The sequence below is a fragment of the Homo sapiens genome, chromosome 3 (assembly GCF_000001405.40).
Source record: "Homo sapiens chromosome 3, GRCh38.p14 Primary Assembly".
Lineage (NCBI taxonomy): Eukaryota > Metazoa > Chordata > Mammalia > Primates > Hominidae > Homo > Homo sapiens.
The window spans coordinates 169,475,412-169,500,070 of NC_000003.12; the positions used below are offsets into that span (position 1 = coordinate 169,475,412).

Below are 24,659 nucleotides of genomic sequence, written 5' to 3' on the forward strand. Positions count from 1 at the left end.
GTTTCATGACCTTCCTCTTATGCACCCTGGGACTGAATTTGATCACAGTGACAAGCCAAACTGAGAATTTCTAAGGCCAGGAATACGGGCTGCCCTTTCTTTTAATGGACACATGGATGAAATGGTAATGTTTCCTTAGCACATTAAAAATAGTGACTAAAAAGTCGAAGTTTTTTTTTTTTCCGAATCTAATAGCTGTCTTAAATCGGGTAGAAAAGAAAGACGCAATCATTCCTTAAATGCATATTTAAAATTCACCAAGCCAAAGCCAGTCTTGCCAGATTTTGTAATCCTTTCCATAGTCTTTGTAAAGTACCTAGCTTGCCAATTAAAAAAAAAGGGGGAGGAGGAGGGAAACCTCAAGTGGTTTTTAACCACCAATAACAAAAACGACAAAGGTATTTTGAAACATCAGTTGCTGCTAGTTAGGAGCTAGCATGGATGTCTCTGGCTCAAAGATAATTCTTGCTCATGTTGGGTTTTTTTTTATTGCAACAGTATAAAATCAGATAAAGATAAATAAAATGAAATGGAAGCACAGAGATATTTGCTCTAAATATGGCTAAAGTGAATTTGTGGCTTGATGCCACTTTTCGCAGCTTTGTTCTCCCTAATCTAATTATGCCTTGAAGTTGTCTGCATTTGAGAAATTAATACTTTGATGAAATATCTAGCCAGTTCCATAAGCAGCAGAGGGAGAGGAAAGGGAAACATATATATAGTATTAACTCTGCCAGCCTTCAACCACCACAAGACCTCCTGGGCACAACAGTGGCCCACTAATAAAATGAAATGATAGCATATGTGCTTTGTTTAATTTTGATGTCTTCATAATGTATTACACAATTAGATTGATTTGACAATTTCCATTATGCTTGATAAAATATTTATTGAGCCCTGAAGATGATAACTCTTATCTAACCACCATTTGTTCTACAGATGTGACATATTTAATATATAAGTAACATCACTCAGATCTATGTTCCAGTTAGCCCATTACATTTTATTTGCAGAGTACAGTGTAAAGTCATCAATAACGCTTTGATAGATCCCTGTCTGCCCGGTGCTTGACAGGTGCGGAGAGAGCTTGCTCACATTCAGCGGCAGGGGCACATCAATCATGGCCAAGAAATTTACTGTGTGAAATTGGCCTCATCTGTCTCAATGCTTGATGCAGATCGAGTTTGTTCTTCTGATAGAGGTGTCGTTAGTCACCTAAGCATGCCTCCCTTGGTACTCATGCTCTCTGCAAGTAATCTTTTTTTTCTCCCCCTTCTCCCCCTTCCCTTTACATATTTTTGTGAAATTAAAATCTCGCCCTCCTGTGACCCTAATCCACATATTCTTGGCCAAAACAGGAGCCAGGTGACCTTTGAGATTACCCTTGTGAAGCCTTGCAGGTTGAGTGGAAGAAGATGCTATTTTTTGTTGATGCTGTTCTTTTTTTTTTTCTTTTTCTCCCCTAACCTCACAGGCAACATGTTCCACTGATGAGAAAACCGGCAAAGACAGGTTAGGCAGAAGAAAAGAGAGATGAGACAACGGACTGTGCCAACAAACTAAAATTTTACCTGCTGCTATGGATAAAATAGCTTTCTTTTTAGAAATACTCATGTTAATAAACTCCTACATGCGACATAATATGTGCCTAGAGGTCTGGATAAGTAAGATGTGTGTGTGTGTGTGTGTGTGTGTATATATATATATATATATATATATATATATATATATATATATACACACACACACAATTTCATTTGCAATAGGAAGTCTTCACACTGCAAAGGTCTAGGTAGATTCCTAGTTAAATGGCATTTCAAATTAAGGCATCTACCCCTGTCAAAGGAGAACTCCAAATGGTAACTGGCTCCCACAACTTCGAAGTGCTGCTGAGACCCTCATCAGCTTTTATCTTTGCGCCCCGTCATTCTCCCATGGGCAAAGAATTGCACAAAAATCTTGGAGTAAACACAAACAAGTGCCAAAATGAAGACCATCAATGATCCAAATCCTTGCAAGGTATAAAAGAGAATTTTTTTCTGAGTCCCGAAGTCAAGATTGTTATAGGCTGCAGGATTTTTATGTGAGAATGGAATTGTAAGATTAATCTTTGGCCAAGAGCACTTCTCTGTTTCTTGCAAAGGATTAGCTGACTTAAACTAGAGGCTCTGCGTCCTGCTCCTGGAGCTGCAGTCAGCTGTTTTTCCTTTGTGGAGCTTCCTGATATGCCCAAACACCTTTCTTCTTAACCTTTGTAGTTATTTCAGTATTTACTTCATTCTAAATCCTTATGCAGACTTTTTTTTTGCTTTCCAAGGCAAACCTTGTAGATAGCCAATCTGTACTGTTTCCACCAAATTAATGTGAGAGCTTGTTTTAGCAACTGCAAAACAAAAGTGATACACGGCTTCAATAAGACATATTATCTTCAGAACCTGTAAAAGTTGAGACTATCTCTAGACAAAGCGCAAGCACAGGATAGTCCTACCACTGCAGTCAAAATACCACAGAAGCTACATGCCACAGCAGGATGCCTGTCGGATAGACAATTAAAGTGGCCCAGGAATGACATATCCCCTCTTGCCAACATAATTAAGGTGTATTATTTGTCAGGGAGGTCAACGGTGAACAAATGTCCTAGCAAACTGAGAATGAAAGACAGGGAAGGAGCAGATAATGAAATTCAGGGATGACAAATGGCTCGGAGCCTGACACCGTGGCATCTGACAAAGAGAGACATCCAATGGCTCTGAAACTTTTCCTGGTGCTCTGGAAGGCTCTTGGATTTGGGGCATTTTTACATAAAGGATGTTGCATGTATCATTAATGTCATTCCATTTCCTTATAGAAAAGTATTAATATTGACAACTGTAGAAGAATGATATTGTCAAGGCAGAATTCAATATGCGGTATGGTTTTTGTCATGTGTACTCACTCTGCTGCTCCTTTGTGTCCTATCTACACTTGTTTTACAGCCACCTAGAGTAACCAGCCTATCTCCACTTTTCCCATTACTTGTTAATAGCTATTGTGCAGATAAAAATGCCTCAGAGTGACCTATAGGGACACCTCTGCCTTTGGCCAAGCACCCCCACAAGTGAGGGTACGAATACTTCCCAAGCTAAGCCAAGATTGAGTTATGTTCAGACAATAAGTATCACCAATTACTACCCTTCAGTTGTTCCCAGATACCAAAGGCTTAACCACCCACGGGAATAGCGACTGGTGCCTGCCACTTCCCTAAGGTTGTGTGTATTGTGCTAGGATATTTGATAGACTTGAGTATTATGGCTTAAAAAAACTATACAGGAGAAGGGATGCCAATTCCTAGGCTAAACCAGCTTCCTTTGTGAACAAATATCTGGGGGTGTTCCTCTGTGATAAAAACCATTTACGTCATTTTAGGCCCATTTTTAACCATACTGGGTCATTTTACAATTCAGAGAGCACAGATTAACCATACAGAGCCAGCAGTTATTGATGTGGAACACAGTAGGACTCCACAATCTTGTAATGCTACAATGATGTAGTCACTAATTTGTTTCTGCATCTAGCATTATTTATTCACCAAAATATTTGTTGATCACCTATTATGTACCAGGCATAGAACTGAATGGGAGGGCCACAGTAGTGATTCAGACAAACATAATCCCTGTCTTTACTAATACTGTAGCCAGAAAGACAGACATTAGCCAACATCTACCAAGATAACTAATTAGTCATAAATGTGATAAGTAGCAGGAGGAATGCTGGAAAAGCTTTTGACCAGCAAATCTAACATACGCTAGGGTCTCAGGCAGGAAGTGACACTTAAGGTGAGATATAAAGCAAGTAGGAATTCACATAGATAGGGATGTGAGTGTGTGTGTGTGTGTGTGTGTGCAAGAGACAGAGATGAGCAGCAACAAGAAGGAAAGGGAGGCGTCTAGGAACAGTATCTCAAGCAGAGGTAACAAAGACCCTAAGAAAGGAGAAAGTTTGGGTTGGTGGAGGAAAGAATGAAGCCCAGTGTGGCTGGAGCATAGACAGTGGAGGAGACGGTCACAAGGGTGAGGCTGGAAAGACAGGCAGGGCCAGACCATGCAAGGCTTTGAAGGCTCTTCTAAAGATTACGGCCTTCACATGCCTCTGCAATTAGAGAAAGCACTGGAAGTAAAGCCAAGCAGATATCAGCCAATGTGTCTGAGCAGTAAAGATATGGAGGTGAATGAAACGTCTCATTTTCAGATTTTCTCTTACCTAAAAAAAAAAAAAAAAAAAAAAAAATTTGCCTGATTCTCAGGCACAAATTTAGAAAGCAGACACATTTGGTGATATAACCACTAAAACTCATGCCTAATGTCTTCTAAATTTTATGGCCTTTTCCTTATAGGGACCTGAAAAGCTCTTGACAAGGCAGGAACGTGACTAATATAATTGAGCACATACTCTGTCCCAGGCACTGTGCCAGGCACCTTTAAAATCTCTTATTTTAATACTCACAAAAATGTTAAGACAAATTCCCCATTTTTTAACTGAAACAAATACAGAGTAAGTAAATTGTCCAATATCAGAAAACTACCAAGAGGCCTGAATGCTAATCCATCTGACTCCAGATTCGATGTACTTTCCACAGTGAAGACAATGGACTTTTTTCTACATTGATTCGCCTTTTGGTCAAAGTGGAGTCATCACTATTGGTATAAAAAAAGTATGATGATGGTTTTCTGTAGGTTGCCAAAGACTAACATATTGACATGTGAAGAATTCAAATATAATTGTGTTTTTTCAAGCAAGCTAGTGCTGTCTTCTTTTTATTTAATTGAAAGAGCTTCTTTATCACATATACTGTCCCATGAATACCTTCCATCCTAATCTCCACCTCAAAGCATTGGGCTCTACCTGCTAGCTTGCCTTCAACACTGCAATCTGAGTTCTTCAAGTACTACTGGAGTACTTCCCAGAAGTAGGAACAAAAGGATTTACAAGGTGTATACAGGTGGCTCGCTGGCCCTACACTGCTCTTCCTCCTTCTCATCTGCTCTCAGTCCACTGCTCCCCCAACCCCTTCCCCTGTGGCTGCCATTCCTCTCCTTCTCTTTCCCACTTTTTTTCTCATCTCTTTAGTCACTTTGCCCGTACCATTTATAATACCTCTTTACGTAAATAAGTTGGCCTTTTATATCACCAGCCATTTTTCCTTCCACTAGTCAAAGTATAGGATCCTTTAGTGTTCTCTGCTGTGTTTGTCCAAGCTGGTTGGTTGATGATAGGGCGACCTGGTAACCAATGAGGTGGGTGGTTTTTGTTCTTCAAAAAGGAGATGAAGGGAGATAAGCTGTTTCTGAGCCACATCCTAGAAGCCTGTGCTTTTCAGGAGGCTCCTCTCTGAAGATTAAGGGGCATATTTGTGGATGTGTGTTTTTTGCTGCTACTGTCTGCAGAGTGTCAAGGATCAACACATTAAAAGATGCCATTTTTCCTGGTGTTTCTGAGTTCTTGGGGCGGGGGGGCTTGTTTGTTATTTGTTGTTGTTTTGTTGAGTTTTGTTTTTGCTATCCTCATTAACAATACATGGCACAAAATCTTAAAACACGTTTCTGTACTTCACAAGTCAACAAAAAGAGAGTGTACATTTCTGTTTTAACCAGAAAAAGAATTAAACTTTATAAAAATAAATAACACCTGCCCCCCCAAAAAAGCAAATCATCACCCCAGGATGACAGAAAACATCGGTTAAAAAAACAAGTTAAGAAGTTTTTAAGCTGAACACAAATCTACTAATGTGTTAATCGGTCATGGACATTAGCCAATTCATGACTTTTAGCTGTATATCTTGGCATGTTAGGTTATGCTGGGTATTAAAAACAATTCTGAGACAATGTTGGGATTGGCAATTTTAAAAAAGCCTCAGCACTTTGGGAGGACGAGGCGGGTGGATCAATTGAGGTCAGGAATTCAAGACCAGCCTGGCCAACATGGTGAAATTCAGTCTCTACTAAAAATACAAAAATTAGCTGGACATTTTGGTACATGTCTATAGTCCCATCTACTTGGGAGCCCGAGGCAGGAGAATCGCTTGAACCTGGGAGGCAGGGGGTGCAGTAAGCCAAGATGGTGCCACTGCACTCCAGCCTGGGTGACAGAGCAAGACTCTATCTCAAATAAATAAATAAATACTTAAAAATAAAAAAAAAACTAAAAACTTTTCACAGTGTCTAGAATATAATTTGTCTATTCCACAAATAAATATATATTATTCCAGTGACAAATCTGTGTGTGTGTGTGTGTGTGTGTCCTCAACACACTTCACTAGCTTGTTGGACATTTCCCTAGACACAACAACCTCTGGTTTCTGTTAAGTAAAAAGAGAATGAACATTACTGCAATGACTGCTCCATGGTGAGGTGTTAGCTTTTCATCTACATGTATATGGAGCAAAAAGGTTTCATTCTTAATTACAAGTCATCATTTTAATACCATATCTCAAAGATCTGCCCCAACTGGAATTCCCACTGGGCACTGATAGTTTTCATTTGTTTCTTCTTTTTGTTATTGTTTGGTGGTGGGAAGAGAAATGTAAAGTACAACTCTTGAGATCATGTTCTGAATCAGGAATTTATAGACTGGAGGGAATATGCTATCTCTCTCCTTAAAAATTCAACTCTAACACTTCATGCATAGATATCAAGTACTTCATTACATTTCCAGTCACTGTGAAATAACAGTTTCTTTTACCTCCACCACGATCTTATTAGAGAAAAAAAAAGCAACTAAAAAAAAGGGGTCTAAATCTCACAGTCTGTACTTCCCTTACAGGCTGCTTACAAAGTTCTCATGATGAAACTAAGACACACTGGGGCGTGTACTCGCCTGTGTCATTCACCATGGGGAGGAGCACTGCAGAGCTCTGTTACAGGGGAGCTTAACCCACGTTCTTTTTTTTTTTTTTTTTTTTTGAGACGGAGTCTCGCTCTGTGGCCCAGGCTGGAATGCAGCGGTGCAATCCGGGCTCACTGTAAGCTCCACCTTCCGGGTTCAAGCCATTCTCCTGCCTCAGCCTCCCGAGTAGCTGGGACCTGTACAGGCGCCCGCCACCACGCCCGGCTAATTTTTTGTATATTTAGTAGAGACGGGGTGTCACCGTGTTAGCCAGAATGGTCTCGATCTCCTGACCTCGTGATCCGCCCGCCTCGGCCTCCCAAAGTGCTGGGATTACGGGCGTGAGCCACCGCGCCCGGCAACCCACCTTCTAACAAGATGAAGTCATGCATCGAGAAGTCAGTGCTCATTGTCTCCTTGGCAGTTCATCTTACTAAAAACCATCAGCTGGACTGAAGAAAGGAACTCATATTAACCTACTCTGAGCAGACTCTTGATTTTTTATTTCTGGTGAATAACACTGTGATATGTTACATGTTTTAGCTCTCAATGACCGAAACATTTAAAATTGATAGGCCTTTTAAATCTATGGCCACGAAGCAGGGACTTGCCAATATTTCTAATGGAAGTCTCCAAAAGTACATAACAATACATATATTGACTTCTTGTTTCAAGGAGTATCAAGATTAATTGTTCCTGTAAAGGTAAATAAATATTGACAGAGGTTTCACTTTGGTCCATATTTTCCACTTGGGTCAATAAATCTTGGTATTCACCTCAACTCGAATCAGTATCAGGTGATTATTAATTCATGGTATACTCGACTAGCAGCCAAAACTACAACTTAACATATAGAACACAGTCCTGCAGACCAATTTATGTTTAAATAAATACATGGAGTGAAAAACCATTGTTTTATTTTTATTTTTATTTTTTTTTTTTTTTTGCCCAGAAACCCGCATTTTATTGACAGTCATTTTCCCACAGAGAATCTTAGAAAGATGTCGCATTTTCTTTTAATGAATGAGAGAAGCCCACTTGTATCCCTGAATCATTGAGAAAAGCAACAGATACAACTGACAGTCACACTTTTTAAAATCAAACAGTCACTACCTTCAGCCCACACCTCCACACCCGCATCTGCCTCCCCAATGGCTGTCAGTTCGGTAAAGTCACCCTCTCCTTCTACTCTGGTATTACCACGAGAATTGAAATTTTTAAGCAGAAAAAAAAAGAAGTCAAGTTACAAATAAATGAGTGGCGAACCAAGGGAAGCCCTTTGACTATGATTTCCAATTTTCTGTTCAATCCACACTGCAGAGATACAAGGATAAACCACCATTTTGGTTCCCAAGTTTTATTCAAGAACTCATACAAAATTTTCCAGATAAATGAAATTTAATCCTCGTCTTCCTCCTCTTCTTCGTCCTGGTTAATCTGGAAGTAACGTAATTCGTAACTCTCTTTGCTGTTAGCAACTACGCGCAACCAGTCACGTAGATTATTCTTCTTCAAATATTTTTTGGTGAGATATTTCAAATACCTTTTGGAGAAAGGCACCTCGGATGTCACGGTGATCTTGCTCTTGCTCCTTTCGATGGTCACCACCCCTCCACCAAGGTTCCCAGCTTTTCCGTTCACTTTGATCCTTTCTTGCAAAAACTGCTCAAAATTGGCAGCATCCATGATTCTACAGGGTGGGTGCAATCAAGAGTGAACTTCAGAACTTGCTTCTTTTTTTTGCCCCCAAAACCATTGTTTTATATAACTAATGGAAAGTACAACCTATAGCTACCAGGCATTTAAAATAATCTATTGTTATTCTGTTATATTTCAATTTCTCTAGTAAACAAAAAGTGATTCTTTTTATCTCACAATTCAACATTTTGCTTTGCCCAATCCCATTACTGCTTGCACTTATTGATGAGCTTTGTAAATATGTGAATGTTTATAACAGAAAGAAAGGATGAAGAACAAAGGAAGGAGAAATTTTAAAAAGAAACAAAAGAGAAAAAAGAAAGAAAGAGGAGATAAAGAAGAGGGCTAAAGAAAATATTGGTTAGAAGAATTGAGAGACATAAAAAATATGGAAGGTAAAAGGTAACAAACTTAGGGAGAAAAAAATTTAAATATCACAGCTGATTAGTGTGTACTTCCATAAATTTCAGCAAAAGATATTTATTTCTTTCCAATATTCTTTTCCATTTAAAAAGATGCTCTGCCCAATTCTAATGACTTAAACATCATAAATATTCTAGTTTTCCATTCAAGATTTAAAATGCAATTAGCTATTAACTTATATAAACACCTCAAAGAAATTTTAAAGAAAATTTATTTTACACAGTAAATTTAGGAGCAGTTGATTAAAGTTTTCAGGGATTGAGACATCTCAGCTAATAATGGAAATAATAATTAAATATTAACAACAGATGGATGTTTCACATGAAATTATGGCACTTTTATTTCCTATGAAGGCACACTAACATTGGAAGGCAGACTCCTTAAGAGAAATTGCTCATCAACACTACAAATTGACAAGCATATCAAAAGAGTTATTGATCTCTATAGCATACCAGCTCAGATATATCAGTAGTAAAGCAAGCACCGAGACTGATTACATTAGCTAGTTGATATTACTTAGGGAGAGCTTTGCCTATTAACGGGGCTTCAAGTGCACCTTTCCCGAAGTACTGCATTTCTGATCTTTACTCTTGCTTATTTATTTATTTATTTATTTATTGAGATGGAGTTTCACTCTTTCACCCAAGCTGGAGTGAAGTGGTATGATATCGGCTCACTGCAACCTCCACCCCCTGGGTTCAAGAAATTCTCCTGCCTCAGTCTCCTGAGTAGCTGGGATTACAGGCATGCACCACCACGTCTGGCTAAGTTTTGTATTTAGAGTAGAGACGGGGTTTCGCTATGTTGGCCAGGATAGTCTCAAACTCCTGACCTCAGGTGATCTAACCGCCTCGGCCTCCCAAAGTGCTAGGATTACAGGGATGAACCACTGCACCCAGCCGCTCTTGCTCTTTTAAATCAAAATAAGGTTAAAAACAAAATTTTATTTTAGCCAGAATATTCTCGTTAGTGTTATATTAACCAATCACTTTGTAGTCAACAAAATAGTTTAAATGCAAATTTACCTTAGAGATAATTTATTTTCTAAGAATTGTGAGACATTCATTAACTTAAATTTACCAACTAAAAAGAGAGGGTTACAATAAAATATCTCTAGAAAGCTAAGACACTTTATCAAATTACTAGAAGTTTGGAGGTGAGAGGAAACTTGAAGATCATCTCATCCAACATTTTCACTTTAAAAAGAGGGAAATCAAAGCAAGAGAGAAGACACTCAGCTACTTAGTAGCAAAGGCAAATGAGTATGCAGATCTTTTTATTTTACTAAAAAGGCTGCGTGCTCAGATACACTCCCTTTACTTTTCACCTTCAAAAAGGCAATTTGGCAACGAAATATGCGATTTTGCATTTAGCTAATAAATCCACCAATAGAGATAACTTTGAAATGTACAATTCTTCCTCTAAATATATATATGTATATATATGTGTGTGTGTGTATATACCATATGTATAGTATATATGTATATATATGTATATATAGTATATATAGTATATATGTATGTATATATAGTATATATAGTATATATGTATGTATATATGTACATATATACTATATATACATATATATATAGTATATATATGTATATATATACTATATATATATGTATATATAGTATATATATATATGTATATATATATACACTATCCCAGAGACATCACCAAGTTTGATGTGGTTTTAGGTGTGGAAATATGAAGAGCCCACTAATATAAAATGATAAACTCTCTTTTTGTGTTTTTAATTATTCTTTAAAAGCAAATCAACAAACAATAACAAAACAAAATTATATTCAACCCAAGCATGAAAGCACTTCTCCACAATGCCTAAGTTGAGTCTTTAATAATAGTAGAAGTTTACTAAGTAAAGGAGGATAGCTAATAATGAAGCAGCACATGTAATGGCATTGAAACAAGAGTGCTCATTATACATTCCAGGAATGTTAAAAAATTTTCAACTTAAGCATCAAGTGTTTATGAGAGAAGAATTTTGAGGCCAGAAACCAAACAGCAAGGCTCAGATCTTTCCAAGTATTTGGAGCTTGTTCTGTATCTTCATGGTAAACCATGAAGAATTAATATGATCAGAATCTCCTTTGAGAAAGATAATTTTGGTATCGGTACTGAGGGAATGAAGAAGAAAATGATACTTGATGCACAAAGATCTATTGAAAATATATTTTGATTACCCAGAAGGGGAAGAACACCTGGATAATTAATCAATCTGAGTTAAAAAAAGAAAAAAGGCTATCTCCTGGGATTTAGGATTGGAATAGAGAATGAGGAATATGCTCATCAAATATAAACTCAGTCTGAAACCCCCAGAAACAAATGTGAAACTACTCCAAAGCAACGTATTCTAAATGTAGGCTCTACAAGATTTTCTCAGATAAAGCCTTGTGAAAATGAGCACACAGCCCCAAATTACAAAACATTCAAGCAAATACTCTTTTAGGAGAGAAAGCAAGCAGACAAAAGGAACTTCAGGTTTAGACATAACCTGGTTGACCTGTAGAATAATCTTCTAGAGACCACAAAATGTTTCCTTAATAATTAATTAATTTTTAAATCATCAAGTTCTATTTAGATTTTTTTTAATTTGTCATTAGAGAAATGATATCTCATGTCTTTCTTTTGGTTTTAATTTTTATTTCACATTTTTAATTGTATAGTCCAAAAACTAATTGAAAAAAAAGAGTAAAATAAAGATATTTTCAGACAGACAAAGGTGAAGAGAAGTTACTACTCACAAAACATTACTAAAATTAATCTAAAGAATATACTTCAAGAAGAATAATATTGAACCCGGAAGGAAGGAGTAGGATACAAGAAACAATGGTGAGAAAATAAATTGGTAAATAATGTGTATAAATCTAAATAATCATTAATTGCATTAATAACATGACTCCTTTGGAAGTTGTAAGTACAAGGTGAAACGAAAACACTTGGCAGCAATTAGCATGTAAACTGGGGGCAGGGGAGGGGGACAATCTGAATTAATGTGATCTACAGTGTTTCCATATTTCAGAAAGAGGGTAGATATTACTTAATGTGAGGCTTGTTAATTATGCACATTAAATATCTATTTGTGCTTATTTAAGAAAACACAAATAGAATGTAGGAGAGGGAAAAATAAAAAATAAATAAAATTTGGTGAATCTTACAGGAAGCAGGAAAGGAGAAAGAAAAACAAGTAGAAGAAAAAGAAACAGAAAGCAGGGCAAATACAAAACAGAAAATAAGAAGAAAGAAATAAATCCAAACAGATCTCTAATCACAATAGATATACATAGCCTAGAAGAGAAAGAAGGACAAATTTATTTAAGAAACAAAATCCAGCTATGTGTTATTTGGAAGAGATATATGCAAAAAAGGGAGGGGGCGGGAGGGTCGGGGTGGGGGGACTCAGTTTGGAAGTAAGTGGATGAAAAAAATACATACCAAAAAATAGAAAGCTAGAGTGGTTACATTAATATGAAACAAAGTATACTTCAATGAAAAAATCATTATTCCCTAATTATTACAAAATGACAAAAGGAAAACTTTACCAGGGAGATACAGTGTTTGGAATTTATAGGCATAAATAAATTGGAATTTATTTATTCCAATAGGCTTACTGGAATTTATAGTTTAACTTCCAAAAGCATGAAGCAAAAATTGACAGCATTACAAGAAATAAATGGACAAATTCACAATTATAATGGCAAATTTCAACACGCCTCTCTCTGTAATTAATAAAGACCCAAAGTTAGTAGAAACACATAAAATTTGAACAGCATAATTAACAAGTTTGATCAAACATATATAGAAGTCTGTATACAAAAACTATTTTTCCAGGCCAGGCACGGTAGTTCACACCTATAATCGTAGCACTTTGGGAGGCCAAGATGGGTGGATCACTTGAGACCAGGAGTTCAAGACCATCCTGGCCAACATGGTAAAACCCTGTCTCTACTAAAAATACAAAAAAAAAAAAAAAAAAAAAAAATTAGCCAGGTGTGGTGGCACACACCTGTAATCCCAGTTACTCAGGAGGCTGAGGCAGGAGAATCACTTGAACCTGAGAAGCAAAGGTTGCTGTGAACCGAGATTGCACCACTGCACTGCAGCCTGGGCGACAGAGCTAGACTCTATCTCAGAAAATAAAAAAGTAATAAAAGTAATAAAAACACTATTTTTCCAGTTTATGTGAAGCATTTATAAAAATTTGCCATATTTAACCACAAAGAAAGCACAGTACAATAAAAATGAATAACAAAACTATAACACAACTCATGTTTAGAAATTTTAAAGAATATTAAATAATATATGGGCCAAAAGAGAAATCATGACAGAAATTATAAAATAATTTAAACTAAATAATATTGACAACATTATATATCAAAACTTGTGAAAAGCAGCTAAACCAATATTAGAGAAAATGTATAGACTTAAATGTTTATACTAGGAATGAAATGGAGTAAAAACCAATGAATGAGTCCAATTCAAAAATTTAGAAAAGGATGAACAGAATTAAAAAAAACAAAAGTTTTTAAAAGAAAAGTAAAATACCTTTTAAACTAATAAAACAGATGAAATTTTGGCATCTGAATTAATTTTTTAAAAGGAAGCATAAATGAAAACATTAGTAATTTAAAGGGGGAATACAGATACACAAGAGATTTTTAAATGCTAGATAGACTACTATGAACAACTTTTAAGTCAATAAATTTGAAAACCCAGACAAAAGAATAACTTCCTAGAAAAATAAAACTTACTGAAATTGACGCATAAATAAAGAGCAAATCTGAATGTAACCATTTAAAAAGTTGAATATGTAGCTGATCTCCAAAATACATTAACCTAGTATTAAAGAAGGGGTTTTAACAGATTTTCAAGTAACCAGTAATCCCATCCTAAAGAAATTGTTCTAGAGAACATATAGAGAAAGTGACAAGTCAAATCAATCTAAATAAAAATAGAACAGGTTTTGTATGTGTGTGAAACTTGACAAGCTGACTGTAAATTTTATATGGAAGAATAAATGACTGAAACAATCTTGAGGAAGAGAAAGAGATTTGGCTTACAGATATCAAGATATCCTTAAAAAGATGTGACAATTTTAAAAAAGTGTTTGTGGCATCAGGATAAAGAAATGGACCAAATGATCAGGACAGGGACCCAAGGAACAAACCTGCACATTTGTGGGAACTTGGTATATGATGGAGAAGGCATTATTAATAAATCAGTGGGGAAAAGAATAATTCTTCAATAAATAGAGCCAGAACACTTGGTTAGGCGTAGAAAAAAGGATAAAACTAGATCCTTACCTCGTATGCAAACAAAAATTAAATTTCAAATAAATACCTAAATATGTAAAGCAAAATAGAAATTTTTAAAAGAGAAAATAGCTTTATAATATCAGTCAAAAACAATTTCTAAAACAAGATGCCACTATGCATAAAAGCACAAACATATAAAGTATAAAACGGGATATTCATAGATTTGACTACTTCAAAAATAGAAATTCCTGTTAAGCAAAGTTCGCCATTAACAAAGTGAAAGACAAGCCACAGACTGAGAGATGACCTTGCAATGTATGTAAGCAACAAAGCATTAGTGTCATGTAAAACTGAAAAAAGAAAGCCTGTAAAGAATATGATACAAAATCCACAGAAATGAAACCTGAATGGCCAATAAACATGAAAATATGATCAACTTTATTAGTAAAGAGAGAAAGTCAAATGAGACTTTGCATGCGCTTTAGAGTTTCAAAAATTAATAAATCTGATAATACTAATCATTGTATGAGAGGACAGGATGAAGAGAGATCTAGCAAAAATAGAAATTGAATCACTCTTATTAGGAGTGTAAAGTGTACAATCAACACGAGCTGTTATTAGGTGGCAAAGTTAAAAATGCACATAGCCACAACCCAGCAATTTCAATTCAAGGTATCGATCTTGAAAAATTCTCACACAGGTGCACAAACAAACCCAAACGAGATGCTAGATACAGCCCTGTTTGTGATAACAGAAAAGCAGAAACAACTCAACTATTTTTCTAAGTAGAGGAACAAATTAATAAACTGTGGTGTATTCATAGAATAGAATATCATATGACAGTTAAAGTGAATAAATCTGTTGAATCTTTATCATCATGGATTAATCTCAAATACAAGATGTTGAGTAAAAAAAAGCAAGTTGAAGAATGATATGTACAGTATAGTACCACTTATGTACATTTTAAAACATGCCAAAAGAGAATCTGTAGCTTGTGATGGAACATATACAGTTAAAGTTCAAAAATGAACATCGAAATACTTTACACCAACTTTAGGATATAGGAGAAGAGTAACAGAAAGGAGGGGTGGGCCTTTATCTGTAATATTTTCTTTCTTTTGCAAAAGAGAGTTTGTTAGTAGATATGCAAAATGTTAATATTTGAGTATATAGGTATTTTTATGTTCTTTTTCATGTATTTGAAGCATTTCATAATATAAAAAAAATGTTTTTTTGTAGTGACAGGGTCTCCTTATGTTGCCCAGGATGGTCTGTAATTCTTGGGCTCAAGCAATCCTCTCTCCTTAACCTCCAGAGTAACCAAGACTATAGGCACATACCACTATCCCCAGTTAACATTTTAATTTTTTGTGGAGACGGGTCTCCTTACGTTGCCCAAACCAGTCTTAAACCCCTGGGCTCAAGCAATCCTCCACTTTAGCTTCCCAAAGTGCTGGGATTTCAGGTATGAGTCAATATGCCCAGTCTGAAACATTTCATAATTAAAAATCAAATGAATTATTGAGTATATAACATGAAAAAGGAGAATAGATATTGCCACTTAGAAATCCTGGAATCAGGTCTAAAGTCACTCCAGAGACGATTGCTGACCAAAGTAGATCCACCCAGGGCAAATGTCCTAACCAAAAGGCCTGGAGTTTCCTCCAGGTCTCATGAGTATGGACTACAGATGATACTAGAAAAGGCTCTAGGTTGGTGATTTGCAGACCAAGACTTTTAAGTATCAGTAATTAAAATAAATAAATTTTATATACATACAGACACTAACATTATTTCACAAAAGAAAAGGCACTATAAAACAGAAAAATAAGAATAATAATCTCACAATAATCAAACATCTTTGAAATGAAGACTTCAATTTATCTTCATGAATAACTACATTTTTCTCATTTTGTCTCAGAACAATGAAAACTTCCTAATAGACTAAGAGGAAACCATATCCCAATGTTTGGGACCTCTTGTTTCAGAAACACAGTCAGCATTGTTACCAACCAGAGCCACGTACCAACAAAACTAGCTCTGTAAGACATTTGTACCAACCTCAAGTGGATTTTAGAAACTACATGATAAATTTTCACTTTCTTCATCAATCCTTCTAGTTTCGTGTTTCAATCAGAAACATGGGATCTCCAAGACTAAATGTACAAAATGCTATGAATCACATCACATTCATCTATTGCCAATTATAAAAGTTGTTTCTTTTCCTGGTTCAAGAAGTGATATAATTTCATCTATTTTTGCTATATTTTGCCTTGTTTGTTTAACTCAATAAAACAGGCACAGACCATATTTAAATATCAAAGAAAACACTTTTATCTGGGACTAGAATTCTTAAAGATAAGTGCTTTTTAAGCTTCCCAAGTTTGGTACATTAGTATTGTCTTCAATTCTGCTCAGCACAAACACACATTCAGTTTCATGGGGTCAGTGGCATGACCCTACTGACTTTGAAGAAGAGTTTTAAAGGAAGAGAAGATGCACAGTGTTGAAAATAGATATGAGGCTATTTAGATATTATAGCAAGTAGGAGAGAAAGTTCGTGGGGTAAGAAAGAATTAGCTTTCAATGAAAAGCAAAATACGACCTAGTTGACCAACTCAATGAAACAGCAGTCAAGTCCATTGTATGAGAGCAAAACTTGTTGAATAAATGGATCACTTTTCCATTCATTCCTTTGCTCAATTCCAAAGCCATTATTATAGGTTTGGCCAACCTCAGGACTTGTCATCCACTGAAGATTATTCTGGAATTTTTATCCTGAATCATATATAACAATCCCTGCCTTCAATGTATAATATTTTCAACCTAAGTAGGAAATAAAAAATAACTACTTGTGTTAAGCGCAGTCACAAAATAATATTAAAGATCAAGTTAAATACAGTTATTTACCATACACGTGTTTAATACTATTATTATATAACCCTACCTATAATACTGTTATTAAAGAAATAGTAATAAATGGAGTAACCAGTAAAATTAACTCATATTAGGCCCGGCATGGTGTCTCACGCCTCTAATCCCAGCACTTTGGGAGGCCGAGGCGGGCAGATCACTTGAGGTCAGGAGTTCAAGACCAGCCTGGCCAACATGGCTAAACCCCCTCTACTAAAAATACAAAAATTAGCCAGGCGTGGTGGTGAGCACCTGTTGTCCCAGCTACTCAGGAGGCTGAGGCAGGAGAATTGCTTGAATTCAGGAGGCGGAGGTTGCAATGAGCCGAGATCACACCACGGCACTCCAGCCTCGAAGACAGAGAGAGACTCCATTTTAAAAAATAGTAATGATAATAACTCATGTTTAGAAACATAATCGTACCTACCTGTCTTTTCTTATTTAAATAGAATAGAAAGCTATAGTCAGAACAATGAACAATCTTCTTGTTCAAGCGCTGAAACTTTAGCTAATATGTCTTTTAGTCACTGTATTCTATCATTTTTCTTGAGCCTCCAGCCATACCATACAACTCCATTTATTCGTTCAAAAAGATACTTGAACATTTGCTGGGTACCAAGCACTGGGGCTCAAGAACAGAACTCACCGTTAATATGGTTTATTTGCAAATATGGTTTATTTGATCAAGTAGCATGTCTCATAAAACTTGATTCTAAATACCTGTGCAACACTGTCATTTTATATTCCTCATCTTCAAAAGGAATAATGAAGCTTTAATCTCTTGCAAAACCTGTATGGTTCTTCTCCCTTCTCAGATAGCACCACGAGCTCCCACCAGTAACAAAACCACATTGCTGCCTCCTTCACTTTGCAGTTCCCTTAGAATCTAACGAGGAACACCACACTCTGCTTTGAACACTGTCTTACATACATATATATGTATGTATGTAAGACATACAGACATATGTATTTTTATATATACACATATGTATACATATATATATATATTTCACACATACACTGGGTGTATATTTATATACTGGGTAACTGAAGTTCCTCAGATGGGAAATGATTTAATCTGTAGCAACGTCTGACTCTGCATATAATGCTGTGTGAAACAGAAACAGCCCTGACACTTTATGAATAGGGAAATGAGAGAGCCTATTGAAGAAAGCTTGACAGCAAGAATGAAAGAATGAAGATTCAACTTAAGCTGTTGAAAGCCTAACAAGATAAAGGGCAGGAGAGTCTCCTTAAATGTGATGAAATAAGGCCTGAAGGGAAGGAACCATAGAGAGATTGACGAGTACACACTTTGAAACAGAAGATGAGTGTGTTCAACCTGACAGTAACGTGGTTAAATTAATCAAAGTACCAATAACCTTAAACGGTAGGAAAGAATACAGATTTATGCAGCAATCATCTTTGATGGTTGGTGTGAAATTTGAGCTAGATCAAAGAGGTAGAGCTTTTGAGGGAAAATAATTGTTATGATTATACAGCCTTCTCATAACATGTAAACATTACACTGACCATTTCACCGTCTTCTCTGCTTGCCTTGTGTTTTATTTCCTCCACCTTAATATTTTAAAACAGGGGACAATCTCAGTTTTTATTACCCAAAGGAAACACCTAATTTTAAGTGATGTTGCTCTTGTGATTTTTACTGATAAATTTTTGAGAGGGAATATTTTCAGAGAGTAAACTTATTGGTAAAACTAACAAGTTGACAGTTCACACTGCCCAGTTCTTCCTCTCTGGCTCCCAAGGGCGTAAGGCAGCCCAAATACCAAGCCCGCTCTTTGCCTTACTCTTGATTCATGTTGCTATGCTTTGCAAAACTGCTACCCAAGAAGTCAGATGCCACAAGTTCTAACTGTTGAGAATACAATTAAAGCAAGGAAAAGTTAAAAAGATCAAACTATTCTCAAGGTGTAAGCATTGAAATACATTAGCTATAAGCTAACTAAAATGGCCAACTAATCAAAACACCCCATTGAATACACTCATCACCAAAGTTTTATTATACACCACTAAGATCTTCCTGCTTTCACCTATCTGTATTAACTAATCGAGAGCACAATCTTTTAAAGCACTTATTCTTCAAGGGAAGGTAGAGGACAGTGAGGGACCCTGGAGCATCTGTATTTTGTAAAAGCTCCCAGTGTGGTGATTCTGATTCATCTTTCTACTCCAAACTTCCAACTGAGAGTCACTGCCTTCATGAGAAGAAATCTTTTAGTTATCTATTAAACTGTTTCAGCCATGGTGCCATTCACCTTCATCCTTATCATTAAAAATCAATAATGATGATCCAAGGAATGGAAGAGAGTCAATAAATGACACTAGTGAGGATGGAGAGGAGAATCGTGTTTGAAATTCACATCTAGCTTAAATCTTCCCTGTTGTAGGCTAGATCCTTTTCTCCTTCTTGGAAGACATTTGGTCACCATGCTTCTCTTAATAGTCCTTCATACAGTTGAGGACAGTTATTAAGTCACCTCTAAACCTTCTCAATACCGGTAATCCTGATTCCATTCATCTTTTTTCATCAGTGCTATTTTCCAACCCGTTAATCATTTTCATTGCTCTCCCCTGGACCCTATCCAAGTTCTCCACGTATCTTTAACCTTCTGTGAATTATGTGACCGGTTTATAGCTTTGATAAGCCTGGGTAGTGAAAAAGGTAGAATCTCATCACAACAGACTATAATTGTATGTGGGGGAGGACAGGGATGGAGCAGCAGATGGTTCAATTGTACAGAAAGTTTCACCACAAATATGATATTAATTTAAGTTTTTATTCTTTGATAATTATTTCTAAACACACCATATTATAATATTCTGAGCTACAATTAGAGTCTGTATTTTACACACCTGTCTTTTTAGTGTGAACCTGTGTCTGGCCTGGTTCTTTTGCATAATAGAAGAGACTATATTTTTCGAAAGAATGCTTGTTTCTTAGTTGAAACAACTTTTAATTACAAAGAAGTACTATTCATAACACCTCTAAGAAATGGAGAGACTAGCATATTTTCATATTCCAATACTCATTCTTTCCATGGCTTTTCCAAATGAGGCTAAATGGCCCAAACCTGAATATACTGGTAATTTGGACACTGGCCTCACTATCAAAACTATGAACCAGTCACTCACAAAAGCTCTTCAGTTTCAAAGCCATTAGTCACATTGTACTTACAGAAGGCAGCATGGCACAGTGATGTTAATTGATGGCTGGCCGCTTACTAGCTGAAAACTTTCAGCAGGTTGGGGTTGTCCTTTCCTCTTCTTTTAGAATAGATAATAATAGAGCTGTGTCATAAGACTGATGTGAGGATCTCATGAGCTATACCTGTAAAGTCTTCAAAACAGTGCCTGACACATAGTAAGCATAACGACCCTACCAGTAAAAGGGTCGACTCCAACTAGAAGTCACAAATATGGAGAACAAATGAGGACATGCAAAGCTTTTCTCTTGGATCTGCATTTAGGATATGGGAGCCTCCTCAAACAAGAAAAAGCCCTGTTGTTATGGGGAAATTGGAAGCAAAGAAAATTCTGCAGTGGCCAGTGGCAGAATTTCTCACCATTGAAAACATATTAGGGATGGGCAGAGTCTATCAGGAGTTCACTGGAATTCAGTGGCTAGCCAGTTGCCTCTATAAGCCTTAAAGATTCCCTTGAAGACAGACAATACACCCGTCTTTGGAAACATATTCTCATGTTAGAACCAAACGTGCATATGGAAATTATTATCCCTTAGCTAAGAGCTTTTGTTTTAAAACCCTTGTGGTGTTTGTAACCTAAAAGAGGGATTTCCTCAAGTTTTCTAAAACTGCCTCATTTTTTTTAAGAATCACCATGATCCATACCTCATTTGAGATCAAGTGAATCGTCAAACTAATGTGTTTTTTCAGGAAGCTAATTCTGTGACTTCCTTAAAGAGAGGGTTGCTCTTCCCAAGGGTTATCGGCAAGCCACTGCTCTGGCTCCTTGTGCCAGTTGTTCTTCCTGACTGGCCATTTCCCCTCTGGCTGGAGATAACCCTGCAATGACTTCAAATTCTTTCGTTCAGTATCTGATTCCATCTCCATCATAAAGCCTTCCTCAGAGCATGGTTGGACCTAAGCATTTCCACGTCTTAGTTCATTCCCAAGATCCCAAGTTGACTTTTGCTTGAACTTCAGTGGAAAATCCAAATCATGTGAAAATCAAAAAGAAAATAATGGCTCTTTCTTGATTCTATTTTCTAAACATATGGTAATGAACAATAAATGTTTACAGGTAGCTGTGATGGCTACAGAAAAATTTTCTTTGGGACCCCCATAAAATAGATTATATTCAGTAAACACAGCCAAGCATGCATAAACTTTAAGAAAGATTTTAGCCTTCTATCCATTCAAACTATTACCCTATTTCTTCCCTCTTTATTGCTACCATTCCTTCTGAAAAAGAGTTTATAAATTCATAACACATTAAAATGAGCAGACTCTTTAGTTCCTTAATCCTAGCAGTCTGATTTAGTAATTTCTTTAATGGCAATATTATTCTCCCCATGCCACAGTTCATATTTGACTTCTCTTGACTCCTTGCTTCCCACTTACTATCAGCAACCAAGTCCTGCTTATTCTTACCTTATTATATTGTTCTTTCTATCCCTATTGCCACAACCTACTTCAGGTCCTTATCATTTACTCCCAATGCTTCTTTTGCAATAGCCCACTAACTAGCTCTCTAATTCTTCAATTTTTCTCTTTTTCTTTTTCTTTTTTTTTTCTTTTGAGATGGAGTCTTACTCTGTTGCCCAGGCTGGAGTGCAGTAGTGTGATCTCAGCTCACTGCAACCTCTGCCTCCTGGGTTCAAGTGATTCTCCCGCCTCAGCCTCCCAAGTAGCTGGAATTACAGGTGCCTGCCACCAGGCCCGGCTAATTTTTTTTCTTTTACTGGTATTTTTAGTAGAGATGGAGTTTTACCATGTTGGCCAGGCTGGTCTCAAACTCCTGACCTCAGGTGATCCACCCGCCTCGGCATCCCAAAATGCTGGGATTACAGGCATGAGACACAGCTCCCGGCCAGTTTTTCTCTCTTGTAATTCATCCTGCATACCTTTGCCAAAACAAACATCCTAAAGCATAATTCTGATTATGTCTCCTCACATTTCAGACATTCCAATGGCTTCTCATTATGTCTAAATAAAGTTCAACTCATATAAAGTCAATGTGTTTGTTGAGTGAATCAGTACAAAAATTCCATATGTAGGCTTTAGCTATTTATCGAATAAAGTACAAAAGAAGAGTTTTGTTTTGTTTTGTTTCTTAGGCCAACATATGCCATATATCCTGTTTGTGGCCTCAGAAATGTGTGAATCACATTGATAAATCAGCTGAAAAAACAAAAGTTAGTATTTTACACCTTCTCTTCTCTAGAGTCTTAAAAACTCCTTCAGACTTCAACTGAATATGCGCTTTATTTCTGTTCTCTCTATTGATTCTTCTTCATTAATGTTTAATCCAAGGAGCTTTGAAGTACAAGATGACAAAATACATAATTTGTACCAATGTTCACAATTATTTCTTCCATATCAGTTAAGTGTAATTTGAAATATTATATCTTAAATTAATAAAGAAGATTTAGTAAAAACATGTTTACCTGTGTGAAAAATATTTATTGAAAATAAAACTTATTTTTAAATCCCACGAAAATAACAGACCAAAATGGCAGTGTAAGTACATGCCAAAATTGCCCCCTGTTCAAAAGCGAGAAATAATGGATAATGATTTTTAAAATATATGAAAGTGAAACTCTGTCCAAAAGCAAGAAAGTTTTCATGGACCATAAAAGAAAAGGAAACCTACAATACTAAAGGATGCTCGGTTTATGCCCAAAGATGAACAGTAGGTTTTGGGTTTCAGTGTTTATACAGAAAAGGGCCTGAGCCTGCCCCACACATGACCCAAGTACACTGCATAAAGCCAGAGTTAAAACTTCACTGCCAGCCTCTGAACAGAAGGCTGTTCTATCCACACTATCACAAGACCTGGTGGAGTTGAGGCAACTGCTGAATTACCATACAGGGAAGAATGAATTCAAGAAAATTCCCATGCAAGATAGGCTCTTAAAAAATAAATTTACACAAGAAAATCAGCACTGTAAAGGTAATTGATAAGCCCAATAGAAGGGAAACCTATACAAAGAAATAGAAATAACTAAGCAATCTGAAATGGACTTTAAATAATGATGTTTACAATTCTCTAAGAGGAAAAGGAGCATTAGCATCAGTGAAACAAAAGTAGGGCTATAGAAAAAACAATACTTATGAAAAAAACCAATTGGAAATTTTTAGATGGAAAAGCGTGAAGTAAAAAATTCAACACATGGTCTAAAGAATAAACTGCACACAGCTGAAGGGAAAATTAGTTAATTTTACGAAGAAACAATAAATCTCACAGAATGTAAAGAGATAAAGATATTTAAATAAATCAGAGTTAAGAGATATAAAACTATATACATATGAGTATATAAATATCCATATGTTTATATGTATACATATATATACCAGAAGGAAAGGACAGAAGAGATACAATATTTGAACAGATCATGGCTAAGTTTTCCAGAATTAATAAAAGACATGAGCACTAGAAACAGTCACAAGAAGTACCAAAAAAGAAAAGTCCAAACTTAGAGATGTTGCAGTAAGACTTCAAAAGGTCCAGGATACAGAGAAAAATCTTAAGCTTGCAGAGAGAAAAGACAGATTACCCACAAAAAAAAAAAAAAAAAAAAAAAAAAGAGTATAGTCAGAATAAGAGAAGAACTGTTCTCCTCAATAACCAGAGCTGCTAAAAAACAATGGACAAGTATTTTCAAAGTTCCAAGGCAAAATAGCTAAACCAGAATTCTGTATCCAGTTGTCAAACCATCATTCAAAAGAGCAGACAAGAAGAAGATATTTCCAGACTTATAAGACCTAAAAAAGCTAACTTCTCAGGAGCTATCTTGGAAAGAAATACTAAACAATTTACTTCGACCAGGGGGAAAAAAAAAGAATGGGATGCAAGGAAAAACAGGGACCAAATAAGTCAACAAAACATGCTGATATATCTAAAGCATTATATGCTTTAAAAGAAGCTAGAACATAATAATGTCAAAAATAGGAGTTGATGGCAAGATCATGCAAGAGATTGAAGGGATGTTAAAATGTATTAAAGTCCTTGTCTTCCTAGGGAGGAGGTTAAGACTACTAACTGCAGACATTTTTAGGAAAATTAAAAATTATAATGTATATTAAGGGTAACCAATAGAGGAAAAGCAAGAATAAAAATACACAGCTTGGTAACATTTTCTAAGGCTCTCTAGCCCTCACTATCTATCTCCAGAAGAGATAAAAACATCCTGTTAAAACTACAGATCTTGCTTTATAGTCACTTATGGCAACAGTGTGAAATTTCCCAGACAGCACTATATTCAATCAGTTACATTTTATAGTT

General features: G+C 36.2%; 1 protein-coding gene, 1 long non-coding RNA gene and 1 pseudogene across 7 annotated transcripts in view, besides 1 other annotated feature; 1 reads left to right on the forward strand and 2 right to left on the reverse strand.

Moving 5' to 3' along the window:
* MECOM-AS1 (MECOM antisense RNA 1) overlaps nt 1–1,641 on the forward strand; it is a 29,186-nt gene extending 27,545 nt beyond the window's left edge. Inside the window, exon 5 of the long non-coding RNA NR_134932.1 lies at nt 1,475–1,641. This is a non-coding gene — a long non-coding RNA (MECOM antisense RNA 1). The remainder of the gene's footprint in view (nt 1–1,474) is intronic.
* The window catches only part of MECOM (MDS1 and EVI1 complex locus), a 580,206-nt gene that overhangs the window by 391,905 nt on the left and 163,642 nt on the right, over nt 1–24,659 (reverse strand). The window lies entirely within an intron of this gene.
* Nucleotides 7,144–7,644: an enhancer, noted in NCBI's record as "H3K4me1 hESC enhancer chr3:169200343-169200843 (GRCh37/hg19 assembly coordinates)". NCBI's record gives its function as "activates a minimal SCP1, AML or CMV promoter by ChIP-STARR-seq in primed H9 embryonic stem cells {active_cell/tissue: H9 hESC(primed)}" and the evidence as "EXISTENCE:reporter gene assay evidence [ECO:0000049][PMID:30033119]".
* RPL22P1 (ribosomal protein L22 pseudogene 1) lies at nt 8,007–8,609 on the reverse strand (annotated as a pseudogene).